At 45.5% G+C, this 20,077-nt stretch overlaps 1 protein-coding gene across 15 annotated transcripts in view, besides 3 other annotated features; it reads right to left on the bottom strand.

Annotated features, from left to right (window-relative positions):
• Positions 1–20,077, bottom strand: part of CCM2 (CCM2 scaffold protein) — a 76,725-nt gene that overhangs the window by 40,522 nt on the left and 16,126 nt on the right. For 8 of the 15 annotated variants that reach the window (XM_011515561.3, NM_001029835.2, XM_006715786.4 and 5 more), the window contains exon 1: positions 8,152–8,315. The exons of the other annotated variants lie outside the window; for them this stretch is intronic. In XM_011515561.3, coding sequence (XP_011513863.1) covers positions 8,152–8,244 — 93 coding nt within the window. In that variant the 5' untranslated portion in view covers positions 8,245–8,315. Of the gene's footprint in view, positions 1–8,151; positions 8,316–20,077 lie in introns of those variants that run through there. 15 annotated transcript variants of the gene reach the window in all.
• Positions 7,671–7,740: an enhancer, noted in NCBI's record as "active region_25968". NCBI's record gives its function as "activates an Ori minimal core promoter by ATAC-STARR-seq in GM12878 lymphoblastoid cells {active_cell/tissue: GM12878}" and the evidence as "EXISTENCE:reporter gene assay evidence [ECO:0000049][PMID:35858748]".
• Positions 8,343–8,392: an enhancer, noted in NCBI's record as "active region_25967". NCBI's record gives its function as "activates an Ori minimal core promoter by ATAC-STARR-seq in GM12878 lymphoblastoid cells {active_cell/tissue: GM12878}" and the evidence as "EXISTENCE:reporter gene assay evidence [ECO:0000049][PMID:35858748]".
• Positions 8,783–8,852: a silencer, noted in NCBI's record as "silent region_18163". NCBI's record gives its function as "represses an Ori minimal core promoter by ATAC-STARR-seq in GM12878 lymphoblastoid cells {active_cell/tissue: GM12878}" and the evidence as "EXISTENCE:reporter gene assay evidence [ECO:0000049][PMID:35858748]".

The following is a 20,077-nucleotide window of genomic DNA, read 5'->3' as shown; positions in this document are numbered from 1 at the left end:
CACGTCTGATATGTTGTGAACAAGCAAAATATATACCAGTTAATTTTATGACTGTATTTACCTTGACAATAAGTTAAAATTTATCTCTTCTTCCACTGCTGTCTATACATATATATATATATGTATATATGTATATAATCAGACTGTCTCCTACTCATCACTACCACAGACTATAATAAAGTTGGACCAGCATCACAGCCTAAGCTCTTCATTCGTGCCCCCAACAGGTGACACACCTGTGACCCAGGCTTAAAGCCCTATAATCTGCTAAAATGCTTCCTCTCTCACTTGGGCTGACTGGACCCACCCCTGCATCCGCCTTCTTCACCTGGAATAGCTCCCCTTGCCCGACCTGGAATAGTCTTCCCTTGACCCAGAGTGGTTCCCCATTGACCTGGAGTAGTCCCTCATCTACCTGAACTAGTCCTCTCATAGACCCAGAGTAGTTCCCCGTTGACCAGGAGTAGTCTCTCCCCTTTGACCTGGAATAGGCCCCCTCCCAGGTCCCATTCTCTGCTGCTCAGTACATCCGGTGGTAGGGGAGAGCATGGAGTAAGGATGACTAAAGGTCCTCAGAGTTGGTAACAGTTGGAGCCAGATGATGTATACAGTAGCTTTGTTAACTTTTCTCTGTATTTTTTTAATATTTGAATTTTTAAATATTTTTTGAAAATGATGAATATATTTTCTGCTTCCTGCTGATTACACTTAAACTGAGGCAAAATATAAAAGCATAAAAAATTAAGATCACCAACATCCTTACAAGATGATCCGCTCTAAGACGAACCACAGAGGGGACAGAAAGTGCTCCCAGGCTGGGTGCAGCGGCTCACGCCTATAATCCCAACACTTTTGGGAGGCCGAGGTGGGTAGATTGTTGAGCTCAGGGATTCAAGACCAGCCCGGCAACCTGGTGGGACCCCATCTCTACAAAAACTACAAAAATTAGCCAGGTGTGGTGGTTCACGCATGTAGTACCAGCTACTTGGGAGGCTGAGGCAGGAGGTTGCTTGAGCCCGGTAGGTCAAGGCTGCGGTAAGCTGTGATCATGCCATTGCACTCCAGCCTGGGCAACAGAGTGAGACCTTGTCTCAAGAAAAATAAAAACTTTTTAAAAATGCTTCCAGAAGCTGGGTGCAGTGGCTCACACCTGTAATCCCAGCACTTTGGGAGGGTGAGGCAGGCAGATCACTTGAGGTCAGGAGTTAAGAGACCAGCCTGGCCAAGATGGTGAAACTCCGTCTCTACTAAAAATAACAAAAATTAGCTGGGTGTGGTGGCGGGCGCCTGTAATCCCAGCTACTTGGGAGGCTGAGGCAGGAGAATTGCTTGAACCGGGGAAGCGGAGGTTGCAGTGAGCCGAGATTGTGCTATTGCACCCCAGCCTGGCCAACAAGAGTGAAACTCCATCTCAAAAAAAAAAAAAAAAAAAAAAAGGCCAGGCATGGTGGCACATGCTTATAATCCCAGCACTTTGGGAGGCCAAGACTGGCAAATCACTTGAGGTCAAGAGTTTGAGACCAGCCTGGCCAAGATGGTGAAACCCCGTCACTACTTAAAATACCAAAAATTAGCTGGGTGTAGTGGCAGATGCCTGTAATCCCAGCTACTCAGGAGGCTGAGAAAGGAGAATCGCTTGAATCCGGGAGGCAGAGGTTGCAGTGAGCTGAGATCACACCATTGCACTCCAGCCTGGGCAACAAGAGAGAGACTCCGTCTCAAAACAAAAAAAAAAAAAAGTGCTTCCATAAGAGCTTGCTGGGACTGGCCTGGGCTCAGAAAGCATGTGGCCTTGTGCTGCCCAGGCCCTGGCTCTATGACAGCAGTGAAGACAGGATGTCCCTAAGGCACTTTCGGGCTTCATTCTCCTTAATCCCTGACAAGCTTTGAGCCCCAGGACAAGTTTGGACATGACAGGTAGTTTGCAGTGCGGGGTTCTCATGGGAGAATGGTGAGAAATGGTCACCTATGATTTGTCAGCCAAGAAATCATGGTAAACTGTAAGTTAAAAACGGCCCTCAAAATTTAGTGATGCAATTTTAGCCATGCAAAAAATCATGTTTCTCTAGCCTCACTAAAAACACACCAGGCTTTGCTTGCCTGTGATTTCCTCTCTTCTGGCACTCTCAAGTGACAGATGGCACATGAATTACTTTTCAAATGTGTATGCTTGACCACTCACTTATTCTCCCAGGCCCTATGATGTGCAAGACCCTGGCCTGGAGGTTATGGAAATACAGAGGCATTTGGCCCATGAGCCCAGCTTTTCGGAAGCTTGCATCTCCACAGACATGGATAATCTCACATCAGCCACAGGAAAATGGCTGTCCCTAAACCATTTCTGCCTGCTAGCCCCCAAAGCTCATTCCTCCTAAATGATAACTAGCTGTGTCATGGACAGTGACTGAGCTCTGAATCTGACAGTGTGGGCAAGCAGCCTGGCTCCATTTGTTGGCTCTTCTGAAAGCTGCCTGTTAGCCAAACTAGTTACTAATCTACCTATGGGAGCAACAGGAAACCAACTCTGAGACAGGAGATTTGCCAAGATCAACCTCTAACCAAGAAGCCCACACCAAATCAACAGGTCCCACAAACCACATGCAACCTACACTGTTATTTTAATGTTGATGTACAGGTCATAAAATTATAGTCTCCACACAGAATTACAGTCTGCACTGGGAAGGACTCTGGCGCTCCCCCGTCCTACAATCCCACCCCTAAAGAGAGACCCTCTGCAGTTAGGCAGTGAGAAATAGTAGGAACTCTTGCAGGGCAAGGAAACCAGGACGGCCATCTGTAGATGCCTCTTATTGCCCAAGCATCACATCAATTCTTCCCTACATCGAGCTCAGCTCTTTCCTCCTCTGGCCTTTGCTCTTTTTTTTTTTTTTTTTTTTTTTTTTTGAGACGGAGTTTTGCTCTTGTCACCAAGGCTGGATGGAGTGCAATGGCATAATCTTGGTTCACTTAACTTCTGCCTCCCCGGTTCAAGCAATTCTCCTGCCTCAGCCTCTGGAGTAGCTGGGATTACAGGCACCCACCACCATGCCTGGCTAATTTTAGTATTTTTAGTAGAGATGGGGTTTCAACATGTTGGCCAGGCTGGTCTCAAACTCCCAGCCTCAGGTGATCCACCAGCCTCAGCCTCCCAAAGTGCTGGAATTACAGGCATGAGCCATTAGGCCTGGCTGCCCTTGGCTCTTACCCAGCAGCCAGCATGGAGCTTGCACAGACTGGACAGCAATAAACGCTGGTACTGACTCTTGATGGAACGCTTGGACCAGGCTAGGCATCTGGGGAGGCCCTTTGGTTAGAGGTGACACAGCCCCTGCCCTCAACGATGTCACAGTCAAGCCGAAGTAGTAAGACCAGAGTAAAGTAACTGAAATTAAATCCACAGTAAAAACAGTCAATCAATGCTGAAGACACACAGGATGCTCCAAAGGTACACTTAGGGCTCAGCCACCCTGTTCTTAAAGCTGCTGTTCTGAGCAGCAAGAGACAAGGAGAGGAATGAACAGGAGATACAACCTTCTGACTGCTCACAGACTAGCAGAGGAGGGCGACCCCGGAACGCCAAAGATAGGGCATGCCAAGGCGCTTCAGAGGAACCTGCCCCTTCTACCTGGGCCTCCAAATCACGAACATTTTAACAAGCAGATTCTGTGGACTACTTGGAGGCAGGCGTCTCTCTGGCCCTAGTCCTTAGTCTTCAATAGCAGCTACCCTAAGTTTCTTTTTTTAATGTCTCAAATAATTTTAATTGATGGGTAAGCCTTCCTAGAAAGTGGAATATTAACACTATTAAGTAAAGAAATGCATCTTTGCACATCTGCTGCAGCCTCCCTCTGCCACTCCTACCCATTCAGCACGGAATGCAGGGTAGCTGCTGTTCTCGCTGAGGATGATGGGGCTTTTCAGAGGTAATGTTTGCTCAGCTCTCAGCTGCAGGGGGTGGTAGGAGGGACAGCCGGTGCTGGGGAAGAGCTCTCTGCTATTCCAGATACAAAACTGAACAAGAAGCCACCTCAGATTTTTGGAAAAGAAGTTGCTTTTGAACACAAAATTTAAGCTGATGGCTGGGCGCAGTGGCTCACACCTGTAATCCCAACACTTTGGGAGGCCAAGATGGGAGGATCACTAGAGTCAGGACTTCAAGACCAGCCTGGGCAACAGGGTGAGACCTCATCTTTTAAAAAAAATACAAAAATTAGAACATAAAAATTAGCAGGACATGGTGGCACACACCTGTAGTCACAGCTACTTGGGAGGCTGAAGTGGGAGGATCACTTGAGCCTAGGAAGTCAAGGCTGCAGTGAGCTGTGATCACACCACTGCACTCCAGCCTGGGTGACAGAGCAAGACCATCTCAAAACAAATAATAATTATTAATTAAAAAGAAAAAAGCTGAGCGTGGTGGCATACGTCTGTAGTCCTAGCTACCTGAAAGACTGGGGGGAGAGAATCACTTGAACCCAGGAGCTCAAAGCTGCAGTGGGCTATGACTGCCCGCTGCACTCCAGCCTAAGTGACTAAGCAAGGCCCTCTTTTTTTTTTTTTTTTTTTTGACCTGGAGTCTCACTATACAGCCCAGGCTGGAGTACAGTGGTGTGATCTCGGCTCACTGCAACCTCCACCTCCCGGGCTCAAGCGATTCTCCTGCCTCAGCCTCCCGAGTATCTGGGATTACAGGTGTGCACCACCACACCTGGCTAATTTTTGTATTTTTATAGAGATGGGGTTTCACCATGTTGGCCAGGCTGGTCTCAAACTCCTGACCTCAAGTGATCTACCCACCTCGGCCTCCCAAAGTGCTGGGATTACAGGTGTAAGCCACTGCACCTGGGCAAGGCCCTGTTCTCTTTAAATCTAAAAAAAGAAAGAAAATAAATTTAAAGGAAAGTTCTAGTTAAAAAATAAATCGAGGCCAGGTGCAATGACTCACGCCTGTAATCACACCACTTTGGGAGGCTAAGGCAGGTGGATCACCTGAGGTCAGATGTTCAAGACCACCCTGGCCAACATGGTGAAACCCCGTCTCTACTAAAAATACAAAAATTAGCCGGGCATGGTGGTGCACACCTGTAGTCCCAGCTACTCGGGAGGCTGAGGCAGGAGAATTGCTTGAACCTGGGAGGTAGCAGTTGCAGTAAGCCAAGATCACGCCACTGCACTCCAGCCTGGGTGACAGAGTGAGACTCCGTCTCAAGAAAAAAATAAATAAAATAAATTGAGGGCAGGCACAGTGGCTCACACCTGTAATTCCAACACTTTGGGAGGCCAAAGCAAGAGGATCGCTTGAGGCCAGGAGTTCAAGACCAGCCTGGACAACATAGCGAGACCTGTCTCTAAAAAATATTAAAAATTAGCCTGTAGTTCCAGGCACTCAGGAGGCTGAGGTGGGAGGATCACTTGAGCTTGGGAGGTTGAGGCTGCAGTGAGTTGTGATCACACCACTGCACCCAGCCTAGGAAACAGAGTGAGACCCTGTCTGGAAGGAACGAGGGAAATAATTAAATGGTTTAGCATATTTTTAATGTACAGAATCAGGATTCCAGTAAACCATCATGGGTTCTTTAACTCACTAGAATGTACTATAGATGGACACATAGAATTTAAAAGGTGGGATTAGCCCAGGCAACCATTCTTCATTCAACATGTATTTGATTGAGTATGCCTGTTCATCACCACTAAATGATCTTGTCACCTTTGAACCTCAGAGACCAAAGGACCAATTCAGTCCCCAGAAGGAAACCAGGCTAAGTGCTATTTCTCTTCCATGAGTGGAGTCCCAGCACCAAAGTGAGGTGTGGAGTCTATCCCAGCCTAAGTCTCTCCTGAAGAAACTGAGGCTGTGAGGGTCGAAGGGACCTGCCAGAGTCCACAGTACGGAGCCAGGAGGAGGGAACACAGGGCTCTGAGTCACCATGCAGCGCTGTGCAAAGACATCCATATGGAATATATGCCACCTCAGATAACTATACAGAACTTTCTAAACTCACTCTGGAAGATGCCTAGATCCTTACAAATTCTTACAAAGTTAACGTCTTAAGCTTAAAACAACTCTTAAAGTTGGAAACCTAAAATGTACTTCTGAGTTAAAAAACTAAAACTAAATCTGGCCTACTAGGGCTTACCTAGTGAGAATGCCCTCCTCACACAAAGCCAAGGCTCAGGCTCTGGGCAAGGCTGGCCCTCAGATGCCAACTGCGGGTCTTGAGTTTTGTTAAATCTGAAGCTCAACATTATCAGCTCACTTGGGTGAACAGGATCTGGAGTAACTGGATCTGCTCAACAAATTCTCAGAAACTAACTTATAAGTCAGGGCACCTGTTTATTAATTTACAAGGAGAAATGAATCCACTAAAAGAACCAGCAAAAGCAGACTCATGAAACAGTGGCCTCTACTTGGGGACCAAAGTAAATAGTATGGCTATACCTTCTAGCTGCATTCTCCATGCAAAACATTGAGCTCAGTATTACTCTGGAGAAAGTGCTAAAAAGTCTATGAAGGAAGAAAGAGAAGAACACTTAGTCACACTGAGCAGTACCCAGCATGTCTCTGCTACAGGGTTCAGGCATTTTCATTTGCGCAAATTATTTAACCCTTATGAATAAACTACAAGGTGGGTTTTATCTAATAAAACAAAACCGCCTCTGAACAAAGATGTTTAAAGTATTATAAAAAGGCCTAGGTATCCTTAAGGCCAACATTCAGTACATCTCATGAGTATTCACTATGCGCCAGACACTGGGGCTGTAGAAGCCACCGTCCCTGCCCCCAGGGAACCCCCAGTCTAAAGAGGGAGACAGACAAACCGCAACTGCACAGCCACATGAGGGCCCAGCAGGAATGAGGGAAAATGACTGGAAGAGGCACCAAACTCAGTGCCTGGGTCTGAGAAGACAGTGGAACCTGGAGCGATGATTCTGTCCAGCTGGACAGTGATAGGCTATAGTCCCAGAGAGACACCTGCCATCCTCATAAATCACACTGCCTAAGGTGCACATCCGAGGCACTACGACAAATCCCCTCCTACAAGCTCCATGACAAAGAACTCCTCTGTGGACACCCACATTGCACCCCTGCCTATGTGAATTTCCACAAACTTCCAGCACTCCCTGCAGTGTCAGTTGACAGATTAGCTTTTTTTTTTTTTAAGTGCTTTGGTGCCTACCAATGGAAAAAGGACCTTTCCTCGGTGCTGGAGAGGTCTAAATGATAAGTATGACACAGCCGGTGTGCACCCGCATCTCAGGACACGGCTAATTTCTTTCTTTTCTTTTTTTTTGAGCCGGAGTTTCACTCTGTCACCCAGGCTGGAGTGCAGTGGCGCAATCTCGGCTGACTGCAACCTCCACCTCCCGGGTTCAAGTGATTCTCCTGCCTCAGCCTCCCAAATAGCTGGGATTACAGGTGCGTGCCGCCACACCCGGCAATTTTTTTGTATTTTTAGTATAGACGGGGTTTCACCATGTTAGTCAGAATGGTCTTGATCTCCTGACCTCCTGATCCACCCACCTCCACCTCCCAAAGTGCTAGGATTACAGGCATAAGCCACTGTACCCGGCTGACAGAGCGAATTTCAAGGGGAACCAGAGCTCTGCCCACTACCGCCTGTTTGCTTCAGTGAGAAAGGCATAGGCACCTTAGTGCCCACAGGAGGCCACACTGGCGGTGGCCAGGATCCATGCTGGTGGAGTCTCAAGCAGAACCCCACTAGTGTTGCAGGCTTCGTGGATGAAATTCCAGCTTTGGGTGCTCTCTTGCTTGGCCATCTCCCTACATCATTTTTCAACCAGGCTCTTGGGTCCCGACCACAAATCCATAGGAAAATTACTTCTCCGTGGAAGATGTAAAACCTGTGGCTTCTTCTTCCTTGAGTCAAGATGGATGAATCCAACAACCTATACTCCCCACCTGGGTGGAACGGCACTTCTCCATACACGCCCCTTGCCACAGGGTCTCAGACCAGGAAGCCAGCAAATGAACCCTCCACCCACCCCATCCTCCCAAAGCAGGGGTCATGGAGACTGGGCTACCCTAGCTCACAATGGGCAAGCCCTGGGAAGCAGCCATGAAAGCCACCCACAAGGGACTCACACCATCATCATTCTAAATGGCGCTTTCCACACTGGACTTGCACCTACCTCATTCTCCATGGAATACCCTGTGTGAAATTCTGTTTGAGGAATTTCTTTGGAGAGATTCTGGTTCCTCCTCTGCCGACAGCTACTATGCATTCTCTACTCACTTCTGAATTTGTTGAAAAATATGGCCAGATGTTAGCCCTCCCTCTGAAAAAAACATGACTGAACAGGAAGACCAGAAACCACAGCTTCCTTCTGCAAAGCCACTGAAGCTGTTTACAATTTTTTAAAAGTTTAAAAAGCAGGCAGCACCCAGAAACTGTTGGCAAAATCCAAACAGTCTGCATGCACAAAAAGACACAAAGTAAACCAGCTCATTTTCCCTACTTCCCACAGCACGCGAACCCCACAAGCAGCCTCCCTGCATTTCCAGCAGAAATTCTGCAGTCAACAGAAGGACATTAATTTCAAAGTCCACCATTCTGCACATTCAAATGCCAAAGCTAAACAAGCAGACAGAAAGCACTGTGAGGGGCTACCATTTCCTGGAGACAACAGGCCGTGCTGTTGGTGAAGACCCATGGTACCTGCCTCATACGAAGGGTGGAAACACGCGACAAGGCTGTTCCAGTTACCCCATTTGCAGTGCTTGCTCAAAGGCAGCAAGATCTTTACAGAGATAACTCCATTCCCAGGTGGGGCTTGGGCAGGGCACACCGGGCTCTACGGGTCCTCAGCCTACAAGTGCCTCTACCTGCCTCCAGGACTCATGAGTTTGAGTCAGCAGCACTTTGAAATTAAACAGCGTGCCTCTGGCCAAGCTCACTTCTTCAAGGCAAATTTCCTAATCTAGAAAAGCAGAAGTTGGATCTGTTGCTGGTGAAGGCTCTTAGAACTCTGATAATTCCAGAATGGCTTGCAAATAGGGAGGGCTACTTAATTAAATATTCTGGTTGGCTGGGTGCGGTGGCTCATGTCTGTAATCCCAGCACTTTAGAAGGCTGAGGCAGGTGGATCACCTGAGGTAAGAAGTTCGACACCAGCCTGGCCAACACGGTGAAACCCCGTCTCTACTGAAAGTAGAAAAATTAGCCGGGCGTGGTGATGGGCACCTGTTATCCCAGCTACTTGGGAGGCTGAGGCAGGAGAATCGCTTGAACCTGGGAGGCAGAGGTTCCAGTAAGAAAAGATAGCACCATTGCACTCCAGCCTGGGTAACAGAGTGAGACTCCATCTCAAAAAAAAAAAAAAAAAAAAAAATCTGGTTAGAGTGACTATATTCACAGATCAATAAATAAACATAACAATTACAATATAATTTTTTAAATATTAGGTTGAACCAAATCAAAGTGCTGATTTTCAACAGTGTTTTGGCTATAAAAATGGTACTTTCATACAATTCTATTTCATTAACCTGTAACAAATAAAGTTTAATATTTCCTGATTCCAAAAAGACTGATTGCTTCAGAATAAAATTTAGTGCTTCAATTATTATTCCATATACCACAGATGTAGAAACTGTCATAAAGTTGGAAAAGCAGCATCAGAACTAGATTTGAGTCAATATCCGGTATTAACTGGACTGTCACTTTCTGTCTTTAAAAACCAGAGTAGAGTCACAATTTCAGATTGCTCCTTCCTAAAAGTTGCCTATACAGGGCAGAACCAGCTGACCCTGACCTTCAGGTAGGCTCAAAGGGAAAAAGGCAAACCAGGAGGGAGATACAGAAAGAGGTGCCACTCAGCTGAGCAGCCTCACCTCTATTTTGGCTACTGCAGGGAGGGGAAGGATTCCAGGGAAATAGACATGACTAAAAAGAAAACCCACATGCTCTGAACACTAGTCAACCCCAACCTTCCCTCACAAACACAGTGATCCCCACGGTCAGCATGAGAGAGAAAAGCCAAAGAACAAATGGGAAGAGACAGGCACAGGAACCTACATTCTAGCTAGTATACTTAGAGACACTTGAGAAGAACTGCATCCATAAAATAAGACTAGATAGCTATGAAAAAGAGAAAACGGCCGGGTGCAGTGGCTCCCGCCTGTAATCCCAGCGTTTTGGAAGGCTGAGGTGGGCAGATCACCTGAGGTTAGAAGTTTGAGACCAGACTGACCAATATGGAGAAACCCCGTCTCTACCAAAAACACAAAATTAGCTGGGCGTGATGGCGCATGCCTGTTAATCCCAGCTATTCGGGAGGCTGAAGCACGAGAATCACTTGAACCCAGGAGGCGGAGGTTGCGGTGAGGTGAGATCACGCCATTGCACTCCAGCCTGGGCAACAAGAGTGAAACTCCATCTCAAAAAAAAAAAAAAAAGAAAAAGAGAGAACAGAGAACAAGAAATATATCTTAGAAATTACAAATATGACTGCCAAAATAAAAAATTCGTAGAATAATAACAAGGACATAGCGGAGAGCCCAAAGAATGATGTGAAGGAGAACTGCGGGGTTGGCCAATGCCTGCCTGCTGCTGATGGCCACAGCTGCAAATGTTTTACAGATGAACATTTGCCACCAATTCGATAAAGGGAATCACCAACTTTGAACCCTGATTAAGCAAAATGTTAGCCCCCAAAAAGAATTCCATTCTCAGTAGTAGAACCATATTACAAAAAATTGTACTCAATTATTATACCTTGAATTTCATCAATAAAAAAATTTACGAAAATTTGCTTTCTCTCTTATATAAGTACCTACTTAATGGCCTCAATTTTGCCCCCTGGCCCACACAGCCTGAAATATTTACTGTCTGGTCCTTTACATGAAGTTTGCCAACCCTGTCTTAGAACATAAAGTGAAAAGGTAAAAAGTTTAACATGAGAAAAATTAAAGGCCACAGAAGCTGGGTCCATCGAGTCTAACAGTTTCCTAAGAGGAGAATAAGAGCAGGCAGAATCAAAGAGGGACACAAATATCAGAAGACAACAACGATGAACTCAATTTTATGGACAGAAAAAGCACAGTAACAAGTAGGCTGAATGTAAGAGACAAACCCTCAACATTTAGACTCATCTTCACAAAACTGCAGAATTTCAAGAGAATCTTAGGTTTCCAATAAGAAAATGCAAAAAAAAGTACCTGTAAAAGCAGTAAGACTCAGATCAGCATCAGATGTATCCTGATAAATGGGAATATGGTAATCCCTTTAAAATTCTGTGTGGAAATTAATTTAAATCTGGAAGTTAATTTAAAACCAAACTGTCAATCAAGGTGCAAAATAGTTATTTTCACACCTGCAGTGCCTTGGGATCTTTACACTCTAAAAACCCCCTTTTGAAAAACATACTAGAGGATCTACTCCCAGCAAAACGAGGATCATCCAAGAGAGAAAAAGATGTGGACTCCAAGAAACAGTGGAACCAACCCAGGAAGCAGAGAAAAGAAATCCCAGGGTGACAATGACAGTGTTCAGCAAGCAAACAAAGGAAAATCTGTAAGATTCCATTATGTAAACTAAGAGCCTAGAAGTTCTTGACGATAAAAACATGTTTCTTGGGCCTTGACTAAGGGCTGGCCTGGACATGCAGAGATGAAACTCCACAATGCCTACAGGTAATCATTTAATGTTTGACTGACTGCTGAATGGTGATGCCAGAAGTTATTATCAGCTGAAGAGTCTTTCCTGAACATTATAATCAGCTGAAGAGACTTTGCTGAACTGGCTACTCAGTAGAAATCCAAAAAGTCCACACTTTAGGTGTAAGGAAAACACCCAGAACTAAATTCAAAACTGATACAGAGGCCGGGTGCGGTGGCTCATGCCTGTAATCCCAGCACTTTGGGAGGCCAAGGCAGGAGGATCACCTGATGTCGGGAATTCGAGACCAGCCTGACCAGCATGGAGAAACCCCCAACTCTACTAAAAATACAAAATTAGCAGGGCGTGGTGGCACATGTCTGTAACCCCAGCTACTACGGAGACTGAGGCAGGAGGATCACTTGAACCTGGGAGGCAGAGGTTGCAGTGAGCCAAGATTGTGCCATTGCACTCCAGCCTGGGCAACAAGAGCAAAACTCTGTCTCATAAAAAAAAAAAAAAAAAAAAAAAAAAAAAAAAAAAAAACTGATACAGAGCTATCAAAATAATGACTAAACAAAGATGCACACGACAAAAAAAAAAAAAAAAAGATTTCCCAGTAATCTCACTGCCTACCATAATAAAACTGAATCTCATTCACAATAACAAGGCATTCTCTAGAAAAAGGCTGAGTAAACTCTACCACACAGGCAAGCCACCTGTTTTTGTAAATAAAGTGGGGTTTTCTTGTGTTTTGTTGTTGTTTTTGTTAGTTTTGTTTTTTGAGACGGAGTCTCACTCTGTCATCCAGGCTGGAGTCCAGTGGCACGATCTCAGCTCACTGCAACCTCCACCTCCCAAGTTCAAGCGATTCTCCCGCCTCAGGCTTCCAAGTAACTGGGATTACAGACGCGCAACACCACACCCGGCTAATTTTTGTATTTTTAGTAGAGATGGGGCTTCGCCATGTTGGCCAGGCTGGTCTCGAACTCCTGACCTCAGGTGATCCACCCTCCTCAGCCTCCCAAAGTGCTGGGATTACAGGTGTGAGCCACTGCACCCAGCCGTAAATAAAGTTTTATTAGAACATTTAAAAAAAGAAGTCTGGGCCGGGCATGGTTCTCTCACTTATAAGTGGGAGCTAAACTATGGCTACACAAAGGCACACAGAGTGATATAATGGACACTGGAGACTTAGAAAGGGAGAAAGTGGGAGGGAGGTGAGAGATGAAAAATTACCTACTGGATACAATGTACGCTTTTTGGGTGATGGGTACACTAAAAGCCCAGACTTGCAGGGTGAGGTGGCTCATGCCTGTAATCCCAGCACTTTGGGAGGCCGAGGCTGGTGGATCACTTGAGCTCAGGAGTTCGAGACCAACCTGGTCAACATGGTGAAACCCCGTCTCTACTAAAAATATAAAAATTAGCCAGGCGTGGTGGTGGGCACCTGTAATCCCAGCTACTCGAGAGGCTGAGGTAGGAGAATCGCTTGAGGTCGGGAGGCAGAGGTTGCAGTGAGCCGAGATCGCACCACTGCACTCCAGCCTGGCCAACAGAATGAGACTCCGTCTCAAAAAATAAAATAAAAGCCAGACTTCATCACTATACAATTCACCCATGTAACCAAAAACCACTTGTACCCCAAAAGCTACTGAAATTTTTTAAAATTTAATGTTTCTTTTGAAAGAAAAAAGAAAAGCAATTCATCAGAAACTCTAAAGAAAAGGCCAGGCACGGTGGCTCATGCCTGTAATCCCAGCACTTTGGGAGGCCGAGGCGGGCGGATGACGAGGTCAGGAGATGGAGACCATCCTGGCTAACACGGTGAAACCCCGTCTCTACTAAAAATACAAAAAATTAGCCGGGCACGGTGGTGGGCGCCTGTAGTCCCAGCTACTCGGGAGGCTGAGACAGGAGAATGGCGTGAACCCGGGAGGCGGAGTTTGCAGTGAACCGAGATCGCACCACTGCACTCCACTCTAGCCTGGGCAACAGAGCAAGACTCCATCTCAAAAAAAAAAAAAAAAAAAAAAAAAAAAAGCTGGTCCAAAAAAAAATAATGATCCCCACATGAAACATACTAAAATGTGGCCTAATTCTGAACGCCAACCACAGCACAGATTAATAATCTCCATTTGTTCTCATTGCTTCACATTCACCTTCCAAAGTACAGATTTTGTGGCAAAAAGCTACATCCCCTCACTTACTGTAACCACACTACTTGACATACAATTCAGACTACAATAAAGTCCTAGGTGTGCTCCACTGCTATTGGACTGTCATTGCTTCTAGGTGTTTTCCATGCAGATAGCTAAGAAATACGTGACAGCTCTAATTCAAAATGAATCTAGCAAAATTTTTCCTTAAGTTCTTTAACTTTATACTTGTATCCTTTAAATTCTTACATGAAAAAAAGGTTGCTACCTACATGGTTGATTTCACATGCCACTAATGAATCATAACCCACAGTGTGCAAAACTGTGAGAAGACAGCTTCAACAGCTGTCACAGCCACGCAAGGCAACAGCAGGAACAATGACTCCACCTTCCTTCCCTCTCTCATCCCTTCCCCTCTCCTCCCCTCCTCCTCCTCCCTGTCTCATCTTCCCCTGCCCCATTCTCCTCCTCAGCTCCTCCTCCTACTCCCCTGCCTCATCTCACTCACTCTGCAAACTGCACTTCCAAAGGCATACCCAGGGGACAGGGAGATGGTGCTTGATGCATAGTTTTATTTATTTATTATTTATTTTATTTTATTTTTTTTTTTTGAGAAAGAGCCTCGCTCTGTCGCCCAGATTGGAGTGCAGTGGCGCGATCTCAGCTCACTGCAACTCTACCTTCCGGGTTCAAGCAATTCTCCCTGTCTCAGCCTCCCGAGTAGCTGGGATTACAGGCATGTGTCACCATGCCTGGCTAATTTTTGTATTTTTAGTAGAGTCGGGGGTTTTACCATGTTGGCCAGGCTGGTCTTGAACTCCTGACCTCAGGTGATCCGCCCGCCTCGGCCTCCCAAAGTGCTGAGATTACAGGCGTGAGCCACCGTGCCAGCCTATTTATTATTTTTTTTATTTTTTAGAGACAGGGTCTTGCTCTATTACCCAGGCTGCAGTGCAGTGGCACAATCATGGCTCACTGCATTCTCTAACTCCTAGGCTCAAGCCATCCTCCCACCTCAGCCTCATGAGTAGGCTGGGACTACAGGCATGTCGCCACACCTGGCTTTGGTGCAACAGCTTTAAATCCACCTGACCTCTGCCCTTCTGACACAGCACTCGATATTCTCGACCTCATGAGCACTAAGACCACCCTCAGACAGTGAGGGAGATTCAGGCAGGCAGTGACAGCTCCCCAGAAAGCTCTTTACACAGTGGGCACTAAGCAAGTGTTTGAAATAAATACCAAGGTAATAAGACTGTATTATTACTGCTAACACAGAAAAGCATACACAAACAGGAAAGCAACGTGAAAGACTAATAACAGTTGTTTCTAGTGGGTGTGATTTTTTTCATATAATATATTTTGCTACTTTCTTCTGAGATACAAATGTATTTTTTAGTAAGAAAACTTAACAAGTTCATTTTGGAAAATACTCAAAATTTTTAGCAAATACCACTTTCACCTAATAAAAACTGTTCTCTTGAGAGGTGGGTAAAGAAAAAAAGAATAAACCTTGGTTCTACCATACAAAACAATTTGTTAACATCTACTAAAATTACAAATGCACTTATGTTTCCCAGCAAGTGCATTTTCGGGAATTAATCCTACAGATGCATTACATACATGACAGGTTAGAAAATTAATTGCTTCATTATTTTTTAAGCAAAATGACAACCTAAAAGTCCATAGGAGGGCTGCTGTTTAAATACAGTAGCCCACAGATAAAAATGCCATTCCACCCTAAAGAAGAATAAAGAAACTATATATCTATAATGAAAGAGCTCCAAAACACACTGTCAAGAAAAAATAAACCCAAAGAAGTTCTTATTCCCTTAAGAGAGAAGTAGACTGTATCAAAATAACTTTCTCACAGACCGAGATTATGAACTCTAGATAAAATGTGAAAAACAATCTTCTAAAGACACTGGAGACAAACAAGAAATAAAAAAGAAGCTTGGAATTTATATGACCCTTGAAAGAAGGGAACATCACTGGGCAAGATCCACTTTTATATTGCTTTACTCCTGAGAGTATGCCCCAGTCTCAGAGGAGTGGAGCAGAGAAAAAAAAGCTGCAATTTTATTGGCCTGACAGGTTAAAGGAGGATTTGAGACTGCTAAAGAAGCTGGAAATTGAGAGGGAAATATAGGAAAGGAGGAACCCACTAAAAAAGGAACCCAAAGTCTGAGTATAAGGTCCCCTCAAATCTTTGGCTGAACCCTGAACTGCGTAAGCGGAGGTGAGACTCCCACAAGCCCAGAAAGGACACGATAGCTTGAAGGTTGAAGGAGCAAGCTGATGGCTGGGTGCGGGAGCTCATGCCTATAATCCCAGCACTTTGGGCGGCCAAGGCAGGAAGATCACTTGAGTTCAGGAGTTTGAAACCAGCCTGGGCAACATAGTGAGACCCCATTTCTACAAAAATAAAAATTAGCCAGATAGTGCATGCCTGTAGTCCTACCTACTTGGGAGGCTAAGGTAGGAGAATTGCTTGAGCCCAGAAGTTTAAGGTCACAGTAAACTATGATCACACCATTGCACTCTAACCTGGGTAACAGAGCAAGATCCGTCTCAAAAAAAAAGCTGAGATTTTAGCTCTCCCTAGCTGCAGGGTAGATAAGAGTTTGGAGTCCAAGTCCTGCCAAGTTAAAGGGGCTTAATCAGTACCTTAAACACTTGAGACTATCCATTTGAAACCCCACAAAGGCCACATCTTAGGAGTAAAACATACATTCCAGGACTAAGAAATTTACCCTAAGAGTAAGGACAAAGATCAAAACTGATCTACCAAACCAAAGTATAAAACCCAGCCAGGTGCGGTGGCTCATTCCTGTAATCCCAGGAGGCGGAAGCAGGAGGATGGCTTGAGGCCAGGAGTTCAAGACCAGCCTGAGCAACATACTGAGATTCCATCTATATTTAAAAAACTTTTTTCATTAGCCGGGCACAGTGGTGCATGCCTGTAGTCCCGGCTACTCAGGAGGCTGAGGCAGGAGAATCACTTGAACCCGGGAGGCGGAGGTTGCAAGGTTGCAGTGAGCCGAGATCACGCCACAGCACTCCAGCCTGGCCAACAGAGTGAGACCCTGTCTCAAAAAAAAAAAAAAAAAAAAAAGGCCAGGCGCAGTGGCTCACGCCTATAATCCCAACACTTTGGGAGGCCGAGGCAGGCAGATCATCTGAGGTCAGGAGTTCGAGACCAGCCTGGTCAACATGGCAAAACCACATTTCTATTAAAAATACAAAAATTAGCCTGGCATGGTGGTGCATGCCTGTAATCCCAGCTACTTGGGAGGCTGATGCAGGAGAATCACTTGAATCTGGGAGGCAGAGGTTGCAGTAAGCTGAGATTGCGCTACTGCACTCCAGCCTGGCGACAGAGTAAGACTCCATCTCAAAAAAAAAAAAAAGAAATTCTTAAAACTGTCAAATAAAAGACATTCAGTACAACAAAAATGACAGGTAACTTCTCAAGAGAAAAAATGGATGCCAGAAGATAATGAGTCTTCATCTTTAAAATGCCAAAAGAAGCTGGGCATGGTGGCTCACGCCTTGGGAGGCTCAGGCAGGCAGATCACTGGAGGTCAGGAGTTGAAGACCAGCCCCATCAACATGGTGAAACCCCATCTCTGCTAAAAATACAAAAAAAAATTAGCTGGGCGTGGTGGTATGTGCCTATAATCACAGCTACCCAGGAGGCTAAGGCAAAAGAATCACTTGAACCCAGGAGGTGGAGGTTGCAGTGAGCAAGATCACGCCACTGCACTCCAGCCTGGGTGACAAAGCGAGACTCTATCTCAAAATAAATAAATAAATAAATAATAAAAAATGCTGAAAGAAAACAGTCAACCTAGAATTCTATATCCTGTAAAACAGAGGTCCCCAGCCCCCAGGCCACAGACTGGTCTGGGTCCGTGGCCTGTTAGGAGCCAGGCCGCACACAGCAGGAGGTGAGTGGAGGGCCAGCAAGCATTACCACCTGAGCCCCGCCTCCTGTGAGATCAGTGGCTGCATTAGATTCTCATAAGAGTACAAACCCTGAACTGTGTGTTGGAGGGATCTAGGTTACGCACTCCTTAGAGAATCTAATGCCTGATGATCTGATATGGAAGTTTCATCCCAAAACCTTTTCCCCACTTTGGTCTATGGAAAAACTGTCTGCCACGAAACCGGTCCCTGGTGTCAAAAAGGTTGGGGACTGCTGCTGTAAAACTATCCTTCAAAAATGAAGATGAAATGAAGGTATTTTCAGATAATAAAAGGTGAAACAATGTGTCAGACCTACACCATGAAAAATTCTAAGCAAGGTCTTCAGGCTAAGAACTAAAAATAAAATCCTAAGCACTCCAACTGACTGAACAAAGCCTGTTTTGGTTCCAGCCATGACAAGATGCCTTGGGACGCACCTCATTATATTCCCTCCCTTTTGTAGTTCAGGCACAACTGACCAGCATTAATGTTAAAATAGAGACCACAAAACTGACAGAATGGACTCTGTGGCAATAAAATACCAAATTACATGCGTTCATGAAGATCATGGGGAAAAAAAGACACCAAATTATAAACAAGACCTACGACCGTGCCAGGTAAGGATTCAGCCACACAGTCTGACTCTTCAAGATCAACTCTGTTCTAACTGCCACAGGGTTCTTCTTTTTCTCTAGCAGCCAAACAAGCACTGTCCTGGATAAGCAATAGGAAAACAACTGCAACTCACCACCAGATGCCAACTGACCTCCTGTTCCACAAGCCAAAACTATAGCTGTGACTGTATAAGAGACTGACTTCAGTAACTCTCTCCTGACAAGAAGACCACCAGCCACAGACTGGTTCTAGCCAGTTTATAGAGGCTGTGCACTTGAGTGCCCTGTCTCCTTGCTTCACCTTTTGAGGTATGGGGCCTGAATATAATGTTGTCTCCACCTCAAAGTGAACATGGAATGCAAAGAACATGCCTGTCTGGAAAAAATAACTGTCAGATACTACGCTTAGTACCTGGGTGATGAAATAATCTATACACCAAATCCCCATGACAGATGTTTACCTATATAACAAACCTGCACATGTACCCCTGAACCTAAAAGTTCTTTTAAAAATGAATGTTTGGGCCAGATGCAGTGGCTCACGCCTGTAATCTCAGCACTTTGGGAGGCCGAGGCAGGTGGATCACGAGGTCAGGAGATCGAGACCATCCTGGCTAACATGGTGAAACCCTGTCGCTCCTAAAAATACAAAAAAAATTAGCCAAGCGAGGTGGCTCACGCCTGTAATCCTAGCACTTTGGAAGGCCGAGACAGTCAGATCACTTGAGGCCAGGAGTTAGAGATCAGCCTGGTCAACATGGTGAAACCCTGTCTCTACCAAAAATACAAAAATTAGCCAGGCGTGGTGGTAGGCGCCTGTAATCCCAGCTACTTGGGAGGCTGAGGCAGGAGAATCGCTTGAACCTGGGAGGCGGAGGTTGCAGTGAGCCAGGATCGCGCCACTGCACTCCAGCCTGGGCAACAGAGCAAGACTCCATCTCAAAAAAAAAAGATGCATGTTTGGGCCAGGCACAGTGGCTCATGCCTGTAATCCAGCACTTTGGGAGGCTGAGGCGGGTGGATCACCTGAGGTCAGGAGTTCAAGACCAGCCTGACCAATATAATGAAACCCCGTCTCTACTAAAAATACAAAAATTAGCCAGGCCTGGTGGCATGCGCCAGTAATCCCAGCTACTCAGGAGGCTGAGACAGGAGAATCGCTTGAACCCGGGAGGCAGAGGTTGCAGTGAGCCAAGATCGCGCCATTGCACTCCAGCCTGGGCAACAAGAGTGAAACTGTCTCAAAAAAAATAAATAAAATAAAATAAATTGCATGTCTGTTCAGTACACATGCATCAGGACCCCCTCCATGAATATTCATAACTCCTCCTATAACCTGTTGAATATGTATATACTTGGTCAGCACAAACCCATTCAGCACAAATTCCTGTTCCAACCCCTCCTCCTCTGAAGTGCCTACCTTTCAGGCTCTGCCAAAGGCTACGCTTCCCAGCCTGTGGGATGGCCAGCCTACAGGTTGCAACTCTTTGTAAGAAATAAAGTATCCTTTCCAAATATGTACATTTCTTGAATTTTTAAGTTGACAAGGCCAAAGGTAAATTATTCCAGATGGAAATTTTCCAGAGGAAATAAAAGTGCTAAAAATGATAAAAGGAGGGATAAACAGAAAAGATAAATTTTCTTTCTTTTCTTCGGTCTTTTAAAAATGTCAAATCATGGCTTTCGGATGGGGAGGTGGGGGCAGCATCAGTCTGTCAAG

The sequence above is a fragment of the Homo sapiens genome, chromosome 7 (genome assembly GCF_000001405.40).
Source record: "Homo sapiens chromosome 7, GRCh38.p14 Primary Assembly".
NCBI classification, from domain to species: Eukaryota; Metazoa; Chordata; class Mammalia; order Primates; family Hominidae; genus Homo; species Homo sapiens.
The sequence above is the reverse complement of the archived record's forward strand: the minus strand, read 5'-3'. Positions and strand labels throughout refer to the sequence as shown.